This window comes from Homo sapiens, chromosome 3 (assembly GCF_000001405.40).
Source record: "Homo sapiens chromosome 3, GRCh38.p14 Primary Assembly".
Classification (NCBI taxonomy): domain Eukaryota; kingdom Metazoa; phylum Chordata; class Mammalia; order Primates; family Hominidae; genus Homo; species Homo sapiens.
In genome coordinates, this window is record NC_000003.12 from 37,482,618 (window position 1) to 37,502,322 (window position 19,705).

General features: G+C 45.0%; 1 protein-coding gene across 1 annotated transcript in view, besides 1 other annotated feature; it reads left to right on the plus strand.

Moving 5' to 3' along the window:
- Nucleotides 1–19,705, plus strand: part of ITGA9 (integrin subunit alpha 9) — a 371,367-nt gene that overhangs the window by 30,477 nt on the left and 321,185 nt on the right. The window contains exon 5 of the mRNA NM_002207.3: nt 11,884–11,951. Coding sequence (NP_002198.2) covers nt 11,884–11,951 — 68 coding nt within the window. The remainder of the gene's footprint in view (nt 1–11,883; nt 11,952–19,705) is intronic.
- Nucleotides 15,596–16,096: an enhancer, noted in NCBI's record as "H3K4me1 hESC enhancer chr3:37539704-37540204 (GRCh37/hg19 assembly coordinates)". NCBI's record gives its function as "activates a minimal SCP1, AML or CMV promoter by ChIP-STARR-seq in primed H9 embryonic stem cells {active_cell/tissue: H9 hESC(primed)}" and the evidence as "EXISTENCE:reporter gene assay evidence [ECO:0000049][PMID:30033119]".

Genomic DNA, 19,705 nt, shown 5'->3' on the forward strand with positions numbered 1-19,705 from the left:
TCAAATTTTGTGGACACTAAAAAGGATTCATGAGAAACACTATATGGACACTGGGACCCTTCTGGGTACTGAGGTGACACAGGTAGGGTGCTCTGGGAAACGTCCCCCACAGAAGAGCCAGCAAGATCTCTGCAGGAGGCACAAACCCTCTCCCCTATAGAGTGAGCCTTCCTTTGGTTTTTCTTTCTCCTCTGTATCAGCATTTGATCAGCTCTGGCTGGGCCATGTAGGGAAATGAAACTCTGGCCCTGTTTATATCTGTATTGTCCCAAACAGAAGAAGAACAAACTTCATCTTAAAAATAGAGGATGATATAATCAATCAAGAGTGGAGGGATCGTTGGTTTCAGAAACGCAAAGCATGTGTCAAGCCTGGGTTTCCACTGCCCCAGTTTACTCCTCCTTTTTCCTAAGGAAGAAAAAGGAAAAGCCTCTGGAACAACCGGTGGGGCAGCTCTTCAGGCTGAGAAGGAGCGATGGGCTCAGCAGGGTGATGGAGGCAGTGATTGTTGAACCATACTAGTTATGCATAGGACCAGTACTTTGGTTTTCCCAGAAGATGACATGTTGTGACAGGGACACATGATGGTCCCTGATGATTCCTCTATATATACCACAAGCACAAGGACAGCCCTCTGAAGAGGGAGGTGGAGTTCAATGTCCATGTGTACGCAGGTCCACGAGGCTCATAATTCTGCATTACTTTCTATTAAGTAGCTGTGGATCATCAGTAGGCCAGTGTTGATCTGAGGTCTTTACACATTCTCTCATCTAATCTTCCCAGAAGCTGTGAAAAATGTTTGTTTCTTTTTTTTCTTGGGTCTGATTACAGGTATTTTATTTTGGAAATTGTTCTAGAAGACACCAGTGAGGCAGGGGGAAGTAAGAATGGGAAGGGAAGGCAGCCCATGGAAGATGTACTCCTCAGCACGTTACCTGGGCGAGTGGGTGCAGTCTCTGGGGTGGGTGCTGGGGCCAGTGTGGAGCACACATCTAGAGTCCTCCTGCCTGAGGGCTGAGGGGAAGGGGCTTCCTCCACCTGGCATCCTGTCCTGCCATGTGTGTGGGCTGGGAAAGCCTCCAGGACAGAGGTGCTGGCAGGTGGCAGTCAGGCCACATCATAGGAACGGTGGTAGGAGCTGGGGGGAGACAGGTGGGATGCCCAAAGGCCAGCTTCTGTGTTGTCATTCTCCTGTGACAGGAGTAAGTGGAGACTCAGAGTGTATGTGAATTGCCCCAGGTCACTCAAACAATAAATGGTGGAGCAGGATTTTGAAGCTGGCCTCTGTCTGACTCAGCAAACCATTTTGTGTCCTGGTAATTAATGGTAATTTCTGTTAGTTTGTTTTTTAGGGTTTCTAATTTAAATGAGAAGTAAAAGCCAGTCAACAACCCTCACAAAGCAAGAAAGGGTGACTGAACTATCCCAAAAATACAATGGACTTAATGATGGTTAAATGGAACTGGTGAAGAAATTAGCAAAATGATTATGCCCCTGCCCAATCTTCCTTCCCATGGGCGCACACACACTTTTATATGCTAACCCATTCATTGGCCCAGGGTGGGAAATAAGGGATGGATGGGGCTGGCATGTGGAGTATTGGGGTGTAAGAGCAGCCCCTTAGAAAAATGGGGGACTAAATTGAAAGTTTCTGTAGTTCTTGGCCCTGTAAGAGGAGAGGGGTAGAAGATGCTGAGTATTTTTCTAGAAGACTGGACTGGACGGGTGGGGCTGGGAGGATGCCGGCCGTAGTGAGAGGGCTCTTGTCTGTGCTCTGTTGGCTTTAGGCATCTCCACCTCCCTGTTTTGTGGTTTAAACTAGACCTACTATGGCTTTTAAGGCCACCATTATTTCCTCAATGTGGAGAAACTCAGTAATGCAAGTTCTCTGTTCCACGTTAGGGGTCACATTATGGTTAAAGACAATGGGAAGATTTTAGAGTTTGACAGGACCTTTCAGATACCACCTAGAACAGCCTCCTGTCTTTCATGAGGTCCAGAGAGGTGATGGCCTGAGTTTTTCTTTCTAATCTGTTATTCACATGCCACACAATGGAGAGGCAGAGTAGCTTGGTGGCCAATGCACAGATTCTGGACACAGACTGCCGGAGTTCAAGTCCCGGCTCTGCTACTTCCTCTTATTAACAGTGTAATCTCAGATGGGTTATTTAAGTTCTCTGTGCCTAACCAACCTCAAGGGTCTATGAAGAGGACTGAGTTAATGCTTCTAAGTCCTTAGAACAGTGTCTGGCATATACTTGCTAATATATGCTAAGCATATATATACTAATATGCCATGTACAACATACTGTATTCTGAGCAAGTGTTTGTTAATCATCATAGGGTGACTGACTTGTGTACCGGGAATAGAATCCACTTAATCTTAAGTACTTGTTAGTTGCCAGATAGACAAAACCCAAGTGACACAGTTCCAGCTACCAAGAAGCTCCCCATCTACAGGGGAAAACAGAGAGGGGACAGGGTGTTTTAAAAGTGGGAGGGCCGTGTGGAGAGAGAATTTCCTGCCAGTGTGTACTGCTGGAGCCCGTCCCCAAGGGCTTGAGCTGCATCCAAGTGCAAGGTGGCATTATTTCATTTTACAATTGGAAAAACTGAAACCCACTTAAAGTCTGCAGGCTGTTGAGACTATGGAAGAGAGGGATGGTGGAAATTCGAGACTGGTCATGGTGGTGGGAACAGGGCAAGGGAGGAGGGGGACGGCTGCCTCTAAACCCACTTCTTGTGGGATGGTGGAAAGACCGTGGGAGGGGCTGTGGGTTGAGGACGGCTCTGCTGCACTTCTGCCCCTTTAGCCTCAGGCCTGTCACTTGGCCTCTCAGTGGGAGTCGATGCTGTGATGCCTCCACTGCATTTACCGCTTTGGGTTATGGTGAGGAGCTCCCGAGAAAACTCAGGTGAAAGTGCTCAGCAAGGCCACCCATTGTTCTATAACTGTGGCCTCATGGTAAGTCTCCATATGGGCCAGCTGTGCTCCTTTACAACATTGGAAGGTCGGTTTGGTTGCAGAGACTCTAAATATGTGGGGATCTCTCCAAAATGTCTCAAGCTTTTGAATTCTTAAAAAATTGGTCTCTGGTTTGGCACTAGGACATGGCTTCTCAGGTGCTTCCTGTTTCTGGTTGGATGGGAAAAGCTACCAGAATATCCTGTTGGAACCAGGAAAAACAGAGGAAATGGGAAATAAAAATGAATTTAGGACATAAACTCATGGAGCATATCCTTCAGTCAGTTTAGTTTGTGTTTGTCTGATGTGAGAACATCATTACCTACCATATGTTCTTTGGTTTTATCAGAATGTGTGAGAAAACGAGAGCTTTGGTGGGACGATGTATAGGGAAAACTACTTGTAAATTAAAGGGCAAGCACTATAAAACATTAATTACTATTAACCAAGCTATGATATTTTAGGACTCCGAAATGTTAAGTCAATGCATGTGATAAAATCAAGTACAGAGATTTCTTTCATCCTTTGCCCTTGAGACCACTGAGGCAAGAAGCCGGAACTTAGCAGGAGTGAGACTGCAAACAAGTTGTCTTTTTATTGTGACCGAAAAACCTGATGAGTGTGGAATAGTTTGGGAGCAGCATGGCAAATTAACAAAGCCTGTTCAAGATTAAACTCTGAGAAAGAAATGCAAGAGGTAATTATGATGCCATGGTATGTTAGACCTAAATTGTGGAATCTGGCTTTACTACTCACTTATTGCTATGATTAAACCTATATGCTCCTACTTTCTGACTTAGTGACCTTAGGCAAGCTCCATGAGCCTGGTGCCCTCATCTATAAAATGGGGAGATTAAGATCTACTTAAGAGGTATGTGAGGTATAAAGTGCCTACCACAGTGCTCAGTCGAGAGTGAATGCTGCTCATTGCCTTCAATTAGAAAATGTAAATTTTCTAATTAATTTTCAAGCAACATAATAGTATTCTTAAATATTCTCAGAAGGTGTCTAACATATCCTGTTTTAGTGACTAGATAATGAAGGGTAGAAAGCTGGATATTCCTAAAATGATTTTAAGAGCCCTTGGCAAGTTATAATTTCTCAAATACTGTTGAAGATCATATTGGCACAATTTGGTTGGTAAGTGTTCCTTCCCTCTTTTTGTAGATGACCTAAAACTTTAACTCATGCCATGTTTAAATGTTCTTAAATTTGGGATTGTTGAAGTCTGAATTTTACTGTGCTTTAAAATTGTGATGGAAAAACTTCCTATGGATTCCAAAGATTTCTGTACCACTCTATTATCAGGGAATGACTGGCTTTTATTTCTAGTGTGTGTTTGCATTTCCTAGGACAGTGATCATTTCCAGGGAAGGAAATAGATTACCCATTCAAAGGTGAAGATTTTTTTCCCCTTTAATGTTAAAAGTGGTCTCCACAAGGGATAAAAATCAACGAAGGTCCATTTACAAATGAAAAGGAATTGGGGTTTTGTTGTATTTTTGTTTTGTTTTTGTTTTGGAGAGAACCATAAAAGGCTAAGTTGATCCATTTAAAAATTCAAGAACAAGCCTCATAAATTTTTATTAAATAAAGACCTCTACATTTACATAGGATTTTATGGTTTCCAAGGAGCTTTAATAAACATATCTTATTTAAATAAATAGAGCAAATTAAAGAGAAGAGGATGCAGTTGTACATTATGGCCAGTTAAACAGAGAGGGATTCTGAGGGGGAGGAAGGGAGGGAGGCCCCAGAGGACAGCCATGGCTGTAAGGAGGAGGCCAGAGGTCTCCAGCAGGGCCTCTCTGGGGCTTTCCAGGTTTCCTTGGAGCCAAGAATTTTAATCTTGGGCAAACCTGTCTCCTATACTTCAAACGTGTTTCCATGTATTACGTGGAATTATAGACTACCTAAACTGCATCTTTTGTTTCTCTCAGAAAAATTCACAGATTCAGATTCACCTAATATTTATTGAGCACCTACCTGGTGCCAGGGGTTGTGCTAGGTACTTAACATTTTTGATCTTACTGAGTAATCACATCATTCTCAGATAAGTATTCTTATCCTTGTTATACAGATGAGAAAACTGAGGCCCAGGGAGCTTGATGAAGGTCACAGGCTTATTAGTCAGAGGAGGGGTTGACGGCTTTTAAGTGTGTAGTAGGTTTCTTTGTAGCTACCTGTTCTGTTGGGATCCTGGTTTTCTTGGTGATTACTGAGTGCTGTGGCCTATCACAGAAAAAAAAGTCATATTTTTTTTCAATGGCATAATTTTATGAATTTTTGGGACACTACACTATAGACTTGTTAAGCTATGTTTCAGTTTTGCAATTATAGATACACTCTGTAGACAAGTCCCAGTAGGTACAGAGGGCAGACGTGGGTCCTCAGACTGATAAAATGTAGCCAGGAGACCAATCTGCTCTAGTCTGGAGTGGCTGCTTACTGGGAACATTTGGTTTCAGTATCTGCACAGCAGTTTGTCTGTCCATGCTTTGGTGCCAGTTATTTCATGAGTCTTTTTATTTTTATTTTTTGGTTATATAGATCAGAGGTTTCCGTGTTGCCCAGGCTGGCCTCGAACGTCTAGCCTCGCCTTCTTATGCGCCAGGACAACAGGCCTGAGCCACTGCAGCTCCCTATTTCATGAGTCTTTTAGCTTTGGTCCCAAAATTGAATTCTGCTCAGTTCTGAGCTGGGGTTCTCACTGAAATGTGACTGTCCCATGTTCAGGGTCACTTTTTTTTTTCTGAGAGTAGAGCATGACATAATGCATAGTAAGTTGCATGTCTATATATACATTATTATGTGCCTGTATTATTACTTGCTGCTGAAGTAGGGAGTTGGCAAAATGGGTTGCTAAGTTCTAGGTAAAGGGAACGCTTTAAAGATTACAAAACTCCTTTTTTGGTAATATTAAAAAATTATTGGCCAGGCGTGGTGGCTCATACCTGTAATCCCAGCACTTTGGGAGGCTGAGACTGGCAGATCACCTGAAGTCAGGAGTTCGAGACCAGCCTGACCAACATGGTGAAACCCTGCCTCTACTAAAAAATACAAAAATTACCTGGGCATGGTGGGGTGCATCTGTAATCCCAGCTACTTGGGAGGGTGAGGCACGAGAATCACTGGAACCTGGGAGGCGGCGGTTGTGGTGAGCCAGGATTGCATCACTGCACTCCAGTCTGGGTGACAGAATGAGACTCTGTCTCAAAAAAAAAAAAAATATTGTAAAAAATAAATAACATAAAAATTACCATTTTAACCATTTTTAAGTGTACAGTTCTGTAGCATTATGTACATTCACACTGCCATGCCATTATCACCACCATCCATCCCCAGAACTTTTGCATCATCCCAAACTAAAGCTCTGTACCCATTAAACATGAACTCCTCATTCCCTGCTTCCCCTAGTCCCTGGCAACTGCCATTCTACTTTGTCTCTGAATTTGGATACTCTAGACACCTCATGTAAGTTGAATCATACAGTATGTGCCCTTTTGTGACTGGCTTGTTTCACTTAGCATAATGTCCTCAAGGTGTATCCATATTGTAGCATCTGTCAGAATTTTCTTCCTTTTTAAAGGAAGGAATATTTAATAATATTCCATTGTATGTGTGTGCCCCACATTTATCTATTCATCTGTTTATAAAACATTTTCTTTGGATGATAAGAATGTTTTCACTGGAAATGTGCTTTGTGAAGCATAAGGGAGTGGCAGAAGCAGATCAGAAGTTGGGAGCCTTGCTCTTGGGTCCTGATGCTGAGGCTAATCAGCAGTGTAGCTTTAAACAAACCACTTGCTCTTTCTGAGCAAAAATATTCCATTTGTAAATAAATGGACAGAGTTAGAGTTATTAGGCATTCCCTAAAGATCTTTTCCCCTTTTAAAATCTTTCTTTCATTTAATTCTAAGTTTCTGGCTTTATGCACTTTGTGTTTCATGCACACCATAGCTTAGTCATCAGTTATTTTCATAAAATGTTCTCGCTTCCTCTTTAACCTAGCTGTTTAATTTATTTACATTTTTTCCCCCATTTATATGGTGGTCCCTTGTAAACTGAGGGTAGTTTTATTCTCTCTTCATTTTTCTGTATAATTGCCCTTTTTTTTTTTTTTTTTTACTAGAGCTGTGTCTGCCCAAATGCATTGTTTCCTGTATTGTACAATTATCAGTTATTTAGATTTGCCACTCTGTTAGAAACAAAATGCTTGTTCCTCAGTGCCACAATGAAATAGCACTTGAACATAAATTTAATTTTCTCAGCAAGGCAATTTTTACTTCTACTGAAGCGTGCGACTTGTGGATGGAGTAATGGTGAGAGCACACCTGGACAGGGGAGGGGCAGGGGTTCTTATTCCTGTTGCAGGTAGCCCCTACTGCTGTGTCGTTCCCCTATTTCCTGGGGTTCAACTGCATAGTCTGAGCTAATTCCAACTGGCTGTTTTAAAGAGAGCAGACTACGATCCTGAGTGGCGGGGTGAGTAGTTTGGTGGGAAGGGTGGTTACAGAACAGGTGACTCAGGATGATTTGGGTCAGAGCAAGTGACCAGGGGTGACTCAAGATGGAGCAGGTAACCAGGGTGACTTAGGTTAAAGCAGGTGACCAGGGGAACAGATCTGAACTACTGATTAGAACTGGCGGGAAAGTTGTTTACTGAAACTAGAGGCAAGGGGGCCAAAGAGAACCAGGAAGTTAAACTTTAAAATGGAAAATCAAAGAATAAGAGAGCTGAACATATTGACATACTGATTCTTTGAAGAGAAACTTGGAATTCGCTATAACAACTCCTTGGTGAAATTCAGAATAAAGACTGGCAAGCTATTTTTCCCCCAGTATTTTATTTCAGAGCTAAGCTAAGGAACTACAGAAAAATAATTGTAAAATTGATGTGTTAAAAAGCTTTGAAAGACAGAACTTTCTCAAATGGGTAATATGAAGGGAGATTATTAGGAAGAATATATGTTATGCTGTATGTGAATCTTGATCTTTCTGTGGAATGGTTTTATCCTGGTCTTTTGGAAAGGGTACAGGAAGTGACCCCACCCGATTGGTGGTCTGCTTGAATTACATTCATTAATGTAGGCTCCATGCATTGAGTTGCGGATTGTGAACATTTGGAAACCAGTATTTTTTTTCCTCTCTGAATTGCCTTCTGTTTAGACAGGGCTTAATAAAACCAGCAGCTAAACCAAGGAAAATACTCCCATTTTTAGAATGGAGGAGCCATACGACTTAATGAATTAAAGCATGTAATGCAGGCCAAGTAATTCAAACCCACCCATGGCAGGAAGAGTTCCACAACCTGGTTCCAGCTCCTCTAAGTGACTTCTAAGTCCCCTTGTTCAACCCTATCTTTTGGGTCTCAGATTTGGCTTCCCCCCCGCTTTTTTTTTTTTTTTTTTTGAGACCGAATCTGGCTCTGTTGCCCAGGCTGGAGTGCAGCGGCATGATCGTGGCTCACTGCAACCTCTGCCTCCCAGACTCAAGCCATCCTCCCACCTCAGCCTCCTGAGTAGCTGGGACTACAGGTGTGCACCACCGCATCCAGCTAATTTTTGTATTTTTGTAGAGATGGGGGTCTCACTTTGTTCCCCAGGCTGATTTTCAACTCCTGGACTCAAGTGATCTGCCTGCCTCGGCCTCCCAAAGTGCTGGGATTACAGGTGTCAGCCACCGTGCTGGCCAGCTTCCCCAAATGTAAGGGTTAGGTTTGTTACAGTGCCTGTGAGCTGCTGTCAGGCAAAGCCTGCTTTTCCCCTGCTTCTTTGAGGTGGATAAATGTTTTGTTCAGTAGTGGAGAGGGCACTAGCTATTGTAGTCCTCTCTGCAGGGCCATGTCCCTGGGGGCATTTGGAGACCAAGTAGACATGCCCAGGAGCAGCCAACTGCTGGGCCCCACGGCCTTTGTGTTTGTGCAGGAAAAGTTCTTCCTGGGAACACAGGAGACTGGAGGTCACCCCCACCCCTTCCCAGGTCCCTCCACCCTGCACTTCCTGGACTTGTCAATGGAGGGAGGGTGTGTGACCCAGGCTTGTTGGGGATGTTGTTTGTGGGGCAGCCCCTTGCCTCTCTCTGCGCCTACCTCACTTCCCATAGCTTTGTGATATAGGCTGTCCTGCCATCTCAGGTCTAGACAAGCAAAATCAAGTTGTATTTTTAAGTTTTTTAGATACGAGTATGGTAGAATAACCCTATGTACATACTCTTTGGGGAAGAAAGGCTCGTACATGAACATTTAGAAGATGGATTAGGGAGAAACCTAAACCTGCCCTCTTGACATATATATGAAGGAATCAGGTTAAAATAATAGTAGTGCCCTTAACTCACAGAAATAGCATTCAAAGGAGTGAAAACAATGGAAAGCATGCTTGTGGCCTAGGCTGTGGAAGGTGTGGAATGTGAAACTGTCTAATCCAATAACACCCACTAACTTTCCTAGACTAGAGTTGCCAGGCCCCACAACTGCCCCCAAAGTGTGTGTGGCAGGGATCGGATAGGTGGTAGAAGGATTAGAACTGGATTCTACTCTACCTTGAAGGGATTAATGACAGTCACAGAAGTTTCTGGGAGGCTGGGACATGGCCTGCTCTCTGATCTAGATTTGATTATAGGAGCCAGTCAGGGGCCCCCATTGTTTGATTCCTTGCCCTAGAGCATCCTGAGAAGGCAGCTTAGACTTTGGGTTTCAGAAACATGAAAGTCAGTGATGGTACCGACTTCCATGTGTGTCCCAGGCCCTCAGACCTCTGGTGGGGCAGTCCCAGCTTGGGAAGGCGGAGGCTGGCCTGAAAACAGTGCTTCATGCTGCCTGAAACAGGGGTGCCTTTAAGGGCTTCCCCTTGCTGGCCTTCAGCCTGGGCCAGAAGTGGGGTATTCTTAGCTCCCAGTGAGGCTGTCACCACCTCGGAAACCCGAGGTCCTGCTCCCAACATAGACCACACCAAGTACAGTTTGGGGAGGAGGCACTGAAGTTCTCAAATCTCCCATTTTTTGGAGACCTTGTCATAAAGAGACCTTGAGACTGCTTTAAAAGATGAAAGAGTCCCACACAATTCCTATTCATGTCAGAAATTTATGAGGCTGAACTGGTGGTGTGTCTTGCACTATAGTTTCATTCAGCTCATGGGGTCTGAATTTCCTTTTTATGTTTCATTTTTTCAAGAGTTACAATTGGGTGTTTAGTCTCTAGAGTCAGTGGGATGGATATGCTTTTTGCCAGACTTTTCACATTTAATATGTAACTGTTTGTTTAGGTTGAGACATTTTGATCCTTTTTGCCGTTGTGCTATTTGATGCAGGATTTATTATTAATTTGTATTATTTCTTGCTATTATGAAATTTGATGCAGGATTTGTTCATTGCTTTGCACTAGTCTCACTCGCAGCCCTGGTGCAAGATTCTGCAGGGAACAAACAAGTTCCTTTTGTCACTGGACTGCTTTCTGGCAGGTCTAGCAGTTGTCCTTATAATAACCGGACAAGGCGGGAGAACTGATTTTATCCTGCATGGAAGAGGAGTAACTCAATTGACATTCTTTGTCATTTAGCAGTCAGTTAATGGCCACTTACTGGAAAATGTTACTAGGCTCTGTGGTGAGTGTTGTTAGAAACTGAATTACTCTGTATATTTCCCCAGGGCCCTTTTTCCCCTTGCCTGGAGTAGACACTCAGAACGGCAGGAAGTGGCACTGTGTTGCAATCATAGTTTCATTGTTCCTTTGTATTTTGCATTTCAAAAATAATGATATTGCTTTTAATGGTACCAGAGACTTGCCAGGAGCCCAGGGGGTGGTACAGGGTCACTGGGGTAGCCCCAGCCTGAGGGTGCCCAGGAGTGGTCTGTGGAAGGTCTCCAGCAATGTCAGCCTCACATGTGATTAATTTGAGTCACTGTGAACATCTCTCCACCTCCTTGACTTTACCCATGAAATGATTTCCAACATCCAGTCACTTTCCTGGGTATTTTTAGTCACTCACTTTGCAGAACCTTTGATGGTCTACAGAAGTGAAGGAATGGGTTTCTAAGTCCAAGCTGAGGTAGAATCCTGGCATTGCCATTTACTAGAGCTGTGTGACCTTAGACAATTCACTTAACCTCTCTGAGCCTCAATATTCTTACCTGTTAACAAGTGGGGATATGGGTTCCCAGGGATGAGGGACCGGTGAAATGATATGCCTGGAGACAGCTAACACAATGCCTGGAAAATGCTAAGCACTTGTCAAAAGTTTCCTACCCCTCTTCCTTGCCAGCTTAAAATTATAACTGCAGCAGCAGAACGCCCCCATTTGTTGGGTAGCAGTGTTGTGAGCTGAGGGGGTGGAGGAGAAAAGCTTATCTGTTAGTTTTCTTTCCACCTGGAGAGATCTTCCCCCTTTCCTTCCACACAGCAATAGTGTAACCGAATGCCAGAGCAGTCCCTTCTTCTTGCGGTCCTCTGTGGACGGCTTGTTTCTTTTTGGATGGTAGGAGGCATCCAAAGCCTCTTTTAGGGAAGATTGGTCTTCTTCCAGGAGACTCCACACTGGGATGGCCACATCATTCCATTTCTGGGTCACGTTTTCAGCTCCTTGGGCCTGCAAGGGATCTCTGTCCCTTCTGGAGTAAATGAAATAATTGTCACTAGCCTCCCACTTAATGACTGTGGCTATTGCTCCTCTTTCTCGCACACGAGGGGAGGAAGTCTGCTGGGGCACTGGGCAGCCTCCCTTCCCGATGGCACCAGAGCCTGGATTTTTGAGGTCTGGTGGATTCCTGAGACTTTCCTTCCTCACCCCAGTCTGGATGGCATCCCTGGGCCCAGCCTGCCGCGGCACTCGTGGGAAGTGGCTGGCTGGCTCTGCTGGCTCCACGCACAGCTGGCATACACTGACATGGCTGTGGTTTGCTTCTCTCTCCTTCCTTCCCCCTAGAGTATAAGAAGAAGTACGGAGAGGAACACGGCTCCTGCCAGGCTGGGATAGCGGGCTTCTTCACCGAGGTGGGTGTCTGCTGTCTGGGCATTTCTGTTCTCTTGTGGGTGTTCATTTCCTTGCTTATATGATTTTGGCAACCCTTAGAGGTGGGACTTCTGGAGTCCCAGATACTTGAGCCTCGAGGGAGCAGATTCTGGTCCTCACACCAGAGGAGGCTATTTCTACCTGCCCGGAGGGCACCAGCTGGCCAGAGACCACTGGGCAGAGGAGGTGGGGTGGCTCATCTCGAGGCTACCCCTATTTGATGATTTCTGTAGGAGTCTGCTTGACTCTGAGACCTGGGGAAGGAGTCGATTTGGGGATGTGTGAGTGAGATGACATTCAGTCAGGTTGTGCCCCATCATTGGCGGCTGTGCAGATACATGAAGCGTGTGAGCATCCCCTCCTAGCAGCCTTCTCTCCTTAGTGGAGAGACTTGTTTGTTTTTCGAGACAGAGTCTTGCTATGTCACTCAAGCTGGAGTGCAGTGGCATGATCTCGGCTCACTGCAATCTCCGCCTCCTGGGTTCAAGCAATTCTCTTGCCTTAGCCTCCCGGTTATAGGCGCCCACCGCCACACCTGTATTTTTAGTAGAGACGGGGTTTCGCCATGTTGGCCAGGCTGGTCTTGAACACCTGACCTCAGGTGATCTGCCAGTCTCGGCTTCCCAAAGTGCTAGGATTACAGGCTGAGCCACCACACCCGGCCTGAGAGACTTGGTTTTACACACAACTCTAACCATTCCTTTTCCCAGATTCAGAAGGACAGGACACCTGCATGCTTATGTGCCCGTGTGGTAGTAGCATGACTTTTGGCTGGTAGTACATTTTTAGGGACTGTTTTCTTGTGTCATTCTTACTTACTGTAAGTTTGCCCTTCGTATCAGTTCCTCCTCTCTCAAACACTTTCATGACTGCCTGCTGGCACTGTCTATCCATGTGGTTGCTCAGGCCAAAAAAAGAGTACTTTTTACTTCTAATTCATCTGCAGTCCTGTTGTTTTAGCCTCCAAAACACATCCCAAATATGACAGCTTTTATTACTATTACAATCGCCTCCATTATCACCATCATGCTTCTAGAAAGGCCACCACCATCACCTGGAGGTACACTGGCCCTGATTGGTCTTCTTATGTCTATTATGCTTTTTTAAAAATTGTGGTAAAAGATGCATAATATAAAAGTCACCACTTTAAAGTGTGATTCAGTGGCATTAGTGCATTCACAGTGTTGTGCACCCATCACCATGGGCTAGGTTAGAACACTTTATCACCCAGCCTGCATCCATTCTGACCTGTGAAGTGTGCTTTCTGCATACTAGCCCCAGGGTCCTTCAAATGAAACCCATCCTTCTGACTCCGAGGCTTCCCAGTCCATGGAGGATTACAATGTAAAGCTCCTCATCCTGGCCCCTGGACTTGGCTCCCTGAGGCCACCTCTCTCTTTTCCTCACTCCAGGAGAGCAGAGAGCTGGGGAAGGGCATGGGACATGGGGGGTGGAGGGAGGATGAAGGGTGCTCTCTGGCTTCCAAAGTGAGGGCCCCTCCTGAGTCAGGAGCAAGACTGCCTACCTTCCTTTCAGAAACTGCTGTTTAAATCCAAAGAGAACATAGACAGTTGGCAATATAGTGTCTGATCCAGAAAGCAAGAAAGAAAAGGCAGAAAGTCTGAAGTTTTATTTTCACTCTCAAACCAATAAATAGGAGATGCTACCCTCCAACCCCCATTCCGCACCCTCAGTGATTCTTACCTCGCTGGAGAATCATTTTTATGACAGTCGACAGAGTTCTATGCCCTGGGAATGGCACCGCCAATCATCCTAACCATTGAGGCCGAATTTAAAGATTGTTCTCTCACCTCACTCTCCTACTTCTAAGCCACCTTGCAAGTCCCACCACCTCCTATGCCCTCAAAACCTCTAACAATGACATCCATTGCCCTCCACATCCTCTGCCACCCTACAAATCTAAGCCATAGTTGTCTTGCTTCCAACCCACTGCGGAATCCTTCTGCCGTCTTGCTTCCACCCTTGCCTCTGGACAGACTGGTCCCCATGTAGCAGCCAGAACCACCTTTTACAAACAGGAAAAATATCATGGTGCTCCCTTGCTCAGGACTTTCTGGTGTCTTCTCATCCTACTTAGAATGAAATGCAAATGCCTTCCCTTGGCCTCCCAGCCTTCATACCTTTCCAGGCTCATCTCCTACCTCACCCACTACATGGTATTTTCAGCTGCTGCTAGGACATGCCGGACTCCCACTGGTGGCATTGCACTGGAGATCCATTCACGTGGCTCCTTGTACACAAGTGTTTCTTTAGAAGAGACACTAATGGAGGAACTGCTGGGTCCAAAGGCACTCAGATTTGAATTTTGATACATGTTGGCAAATTGCACTTCAGACATGTTTACCAGTTGACACTCCCCTGCATTGCTTCTGTCTCTATCTTCTCTCACTCAGACTTTAAATTTTTGTTATGAAAAAACATCTCGTTTTAATGTCACTTTCCCTGATTATTAATGTCATTTAATATCCTTTTAAAATATTGACCATTTGTATTTGTTTTCCTGGAAGTTGCCTGTTTATGTTCTCAGTACATTATTCTGTTTTGTTGTTGTTGTTGTTTTCCTGGTTTTTAGGAACTTGTTACATATTTTCAACAGTAATCTCTTACCTGATCTATGTGTTGCAAATTTTTTCATCAGCCTTTTTCTTATGTTTTAAGTTTGCCTATGATGTCTTTATCATCCTGGCAATAAACATGCACATTTGGCCAAATCTATCAGTCTTTTTTTTTTTTTCCCTCTAGATTCTAAACTTATCTCTTAAGAAGGTTATTCCTTATGTATACTGCAAGTTGGCATGAACAGCTGGGCAGGAGAGTGCCCGGGATCTACAACACATGTCTGGGCTGAACAAACTCCCATATTTTATACTTATATTTTCAATATACTTGTATTTTTAATAGCACTTTCATAGGTTGTTTTTAAAAAAGATTTCGATCTTTAATCTTTCTGGAATTTGTGTTGTATACATTGTGTGATAGAAACTAACTACGTTATTTTTCTAAATATATAGTTGGTTGTTCTGATACTGGTTTGTTAAACAACTTTTCCTCTCCCCATTGAAATGCCATCCTGCCGTGTGGCGACTTCACTCTCTTCTTCCATCTCAGCAAACATTTAGATTGTGTGACAACTATGGCTGTTGTTCCTCCAACAGGCCTGTCTAGTATTGTATGACTTGAGTCAATAGGCAGTGGGAACCACTGTAAGTTCACAAGCAGGTGACACACTGGCAGATGGCAGTGTTGAAAGAAAGGCTATTTGAGCTGGGTTTGCCCAGAACTTTGGGAGTGGAAGGGCCTGAAGGGAGGCCTGGTAGGAGGCCGTGATGTGGTAGGAGGCCGTGAAGCAACAGGACAGTGTAGAGGGAGGCTTAAGGAATAAAAATGATTGGGGGAGGCAGAGAATATGAAGGAAATGTCAAGGGGCTGGGTGGCCAGGGAGCTGTGGGGTAGAGGAAGGAGGGTTTGAGCCAGGCTTCTGGAGAATGGTGGTGCCTCTGGTGAAAAGGGGTTGCCTGAGAAAGAACCCATTGGGAGATATAAACTGCCAAGTCTGCTTTCAGACACAGGGAGTGTGCGATGTTTTTAGAGGACGTTTGGACTTAGGGACTGGAGTCCTGCCTGGGGCAGAAACTTAGATTTGGCCCTTGCTCATGACTCTCTTAGGGGATGAGTGTGCTTAGTGTAGGGCATGGGGGAGACACCTCCCTTTAGATGGGAGGAGAAGCTAGATTGATGGGAGACATCAGAACTCAACGGAGATGTTGACAGAGAGCCGAGGAGAAAGTGTTCCCAGGAGGGAAGTGTCATTATGTTTGCCGCAGCAGCTGGCAAGTCAGGCATTGGGCTGAGTGGAGGCAGGGAGTGGTAGGAGGAACCGGCGGGGCAGGAGTGTGGAGGGGAAGTCCAGGTAGCTGTGCAAGCTCAGGGTGACCAGAAGAACAGAAGACCTGCTGAAATCCAGGCTTTGGGATTTAGAACCTGAGGGAAACATGGGGTGTCAGCATGTGCTGGCTGTGCTCATGGTACAGCAAAGTGGGGACATGGTGGGTGTACAGAGTGTCCGGGGAGGGTGGGCAGTGGTGAGTGGGAAGGCAGCCCCTCTGGGCGCCACTCTGTCCTCTGACCCCGGCCTGCTGTCTCCTGGCTACTTTGGACTTTGGCCTCCGCTTCAGTTCCCAGGCTTTTGGCCTCCTTAAACAGGAGGTCTTTGAACTCACTGCCTGCCTTGTTTCTGGAAGTTCAGCTGTTTGTGGCTGAGCAGGAAATGTGGTTGAAGGGTCCAGGCCAGCGCGACTCCCCTCCTCTGCCCTCTTGCTGACCTCGCCACTTGGGCTTGCCTTTTCTGTGAGCTGTTGTCCCCTCCCAAGCTGGACATGGATCTGTGGCCTTCTGGTCATAGCTATGTTGCCCCAAAATATTTTGGCCTAAGGTGCCTGCTTGACCTACAGGTCAGTGACCCTGAGCTTAACAAAGCCTTCGGAGCTATGGATACCACCTGAATTTTAGCCTGACATTGAGGATTAGAGAGAATTTCCTGGGAGGTTTATTTATTTTTGTAGATGAGGCTAACAGAGGTAGTAGATACTGCTTAGCAGCAAGAGAGGATTTGGACCAGCTGGGCTGGCGTTCACGCCTGCTGTAGAAGCCTAGAGGCACTTGGGTGGGAGTTTGTTCAGCACGGACTTCTGTTGTAGATCCCGGGCACTCCTGCCCAGCTGCTCATGCCAACTTGCAGTACACAGAGGAAATATATGGCTTCTCCCAGGCCCACCTACATACCCCGGTTCCTCTAGGTGTTCTGCTAATAAATGCATCTTGGGAAAAAGCTGCATTGCTTATTGATGGGATTCCACAAATGTGATTTAGGTAGTGGTGGCCTTTGCTTAGAGAAGCTTTCATTTGTGTGTGTGACATTGACACTGGCTGTTCCTGCATGGTGGGGAGCTAAGTATTAGTCACTTTTTCCTAGCACTTGTGAACAGCACCAGAAAGGTCACAAGCATCATCCATAGGGAACAGAAAAAACAACTATGAGGGATTTCCAGGAAGGCACTGTCCCTCCCTTCAGCCTCAGCCCTGAGGGTCGCAGGCTTGGCCCTGTTTTATGTAGTATGGGCTGAAGGGAGAGGGGTGTGAGCACTGGGGGCGGAGTGGCGTGGTGCGGTAAAAACAAGAGCTGTTGGTTTTAAAGGTTTTTGAAGACAGGAATTACTTTATCTTACCCTGTTTATAATGTTTGAGAGGGGATGCAGTGGTATGGTAGGCATACATTTTTCAACTTTTATCCTGGGTTAGTCTAAATCATCAGAAAGCAACATATCCCATCCCTGCCCCCAATGTTCCGAAGAGCCTTTGCAGGCCTGTGCTGATGCTCAAAGCTTTGGCCTGTGCAAAGCTGCAGGTGGAGAAAGCTCTGCACTGAGGATACATCTGGGGCTGAGGAGGTTGCTCATTAGGTTCTTCAGTGCCCTTTGTATTATATTTGGACACTGATTACAAATTCCTTTCCAAGCTCAAGGCCAGGAGAAAAAGTCTCTCCTCTGATGAACTTATTTCTGTTTTTTGTACTCTTTCTAGAACTAGCGTGGTCTCTTATGCAGGACAGATGAGTGTAAAAAGAATGAGTGGATGGATGCTCTGCTGTGTTTCCCAGTGGAGCGTCCTGACTGCAGAAAGCTATCTATTTTTATAAAACAGTGAGATACCCCTGGGAACATCTGGCTTATCATCAACAGCTTCCTTCAAGGGGGGTAGGATCTCAAAACTTTAAAATGAAGTGCTCATCAACAGTCATTTCTTGTCTACACCCTCCTGAATTATCAAAAAGCAAGCCTTTCCGGCGAGAATCTAGTGGCTTTTCTTCCATCTGTGTTCCTGCCCTATCCTTTGTTAAGGCTCTTCCCCAAATTAACCATAACACGTATTGTTTAAGGCATTGCCCTCTTGCCTGCAGGCTCTATCCTCCTCTCTCTATTTTTTTTCTTTAGGTACTTCTGGCTTTTGCAGACACTTGCTCCCTGAGAATTCAGTGGTGACTTTATGAATTGTCCTCAGAAATTCTAAATCTCTGCGGCAGGATCTAGCCTCCAGGGACTTGTCAGAGCCAGCAGCTTCTGCCAGTGCGTGGGCTCGTCTCTGCAGAGGGAGATCAACCTGAAAAGATCTGTTTCTGAAATATATGTGGGTGACCAAGGGACGGGGTGCAGGGGAATTCTGAAGGCTCAGGGGAAGGTCAGGTGGGTTTCAGCAGTGAGAGACTTGACCTGCACAGCATCTGTTATCCCCATGAGCCTTCATGACCAGTATCTTTGGAGTTTTGTCTATAGCTGAAAGATTTCCTCTAGAAATTTTGTTGATTTTAACCTGTTTGCATAGAATTTTTTTCTGAAATACTTTGCACATTACCATGCTGTCTTACCCCAAGAATGATCTACGAAGGGACTTTATTTATCTTTATATCTAGTGTGAACTCTGAGATATAATAGTAGGTGCCCAATAAACATTGTTGAGTGAAAAATTACTGATTTCATTAGAAAAATAATTCTGATTATTTCTTATTGCAGTGTCGAAACTTTAGAAAATAAAGGTAATCCAAAAGTAGGGATTCCCTGTTGGGGAAAGGAAGGACTGAAAGCCAGGGACCTCTGATGGATACAAGCACAGCCTGCCTCCTAGCTCCAGCACAGCCTCTGCACAATGGGAGCTTCGTCTTAATGCTTGTAAAATGTCATCTCATTAGCATGTTTTGTGTTTTTATGTGATGACTTCCTTGTTAGTGTTTAATCACTGTTCTGGAATTTTAAAAAGTCAAGATTATTAATTAAAAAAATTAATACATATAATAAAATACACTATTTTAAATGCAGAGTTCGATGAGTTTTGACAAATGTGTATACCATGTCGTCTCTGTCTGAATGAAGATGAGAACATTTCCATCACTTTGGGAAGTTCCTCATGCCCCTTTGCAGACAGTGTTCCTCCTCTTTACTCCAGGTACCCACTGATCTGACTTCCATCAGTGTGGATTGGTTTTGCTGATTCTAGAACTTCCTATGAATGGAGTCATTTTTTTCTCATCAACATTTGGTCTAGGATTCACCCATATTTCAACTGAGTTTTGAATACTGCGAAAGGGTTACACAAGCAGAGGAAGTGTGAGGGCATTGCACAGATGGAGATAAAAAGATCAGAGGGAGTTCCGAAGACCAGAATTAGTTTAGAGTGTCCTAGGCATGCAGTCTGAGGGGGCAGTGGCAGGAGAAGAGCCTAATGTGGTTGAAATAGTGGACAGTGTTGAATTTTACCTGAGCCCTGTACTCTTGGAAAACAGTGTGGTCTAGAATTTTGAAAAATGCAAAGGAAATAAACTTTGGGAGTGAGAGAACAGGGGATGTTGATTGATTTCCATTATCGTATCACCCAGGGGAAAACCCCAGCAGATATCTGTGCTGACTTCCTTGGGTGACCAAATCATTTCTGGGAACTTAGGGTTGTTGTCAGCATTGGTGATGGTTCTGGGGCACAAACATGCTCTCAGCCCTGTTGACCATTTCCCCCTGATCTAAATGCTGAAGACAGCTGTGCCTCTTATGTTCTTGAGTCTTTTTTTTTTTTTTTTTTTTTGGCAGAGTCTTGCTATGTCACCCAGGCTGGAATGCAGTGGCATGGTCTTGGCTCACTGAGACCTCTGCGTCCCGGGTTCAAGCGATTT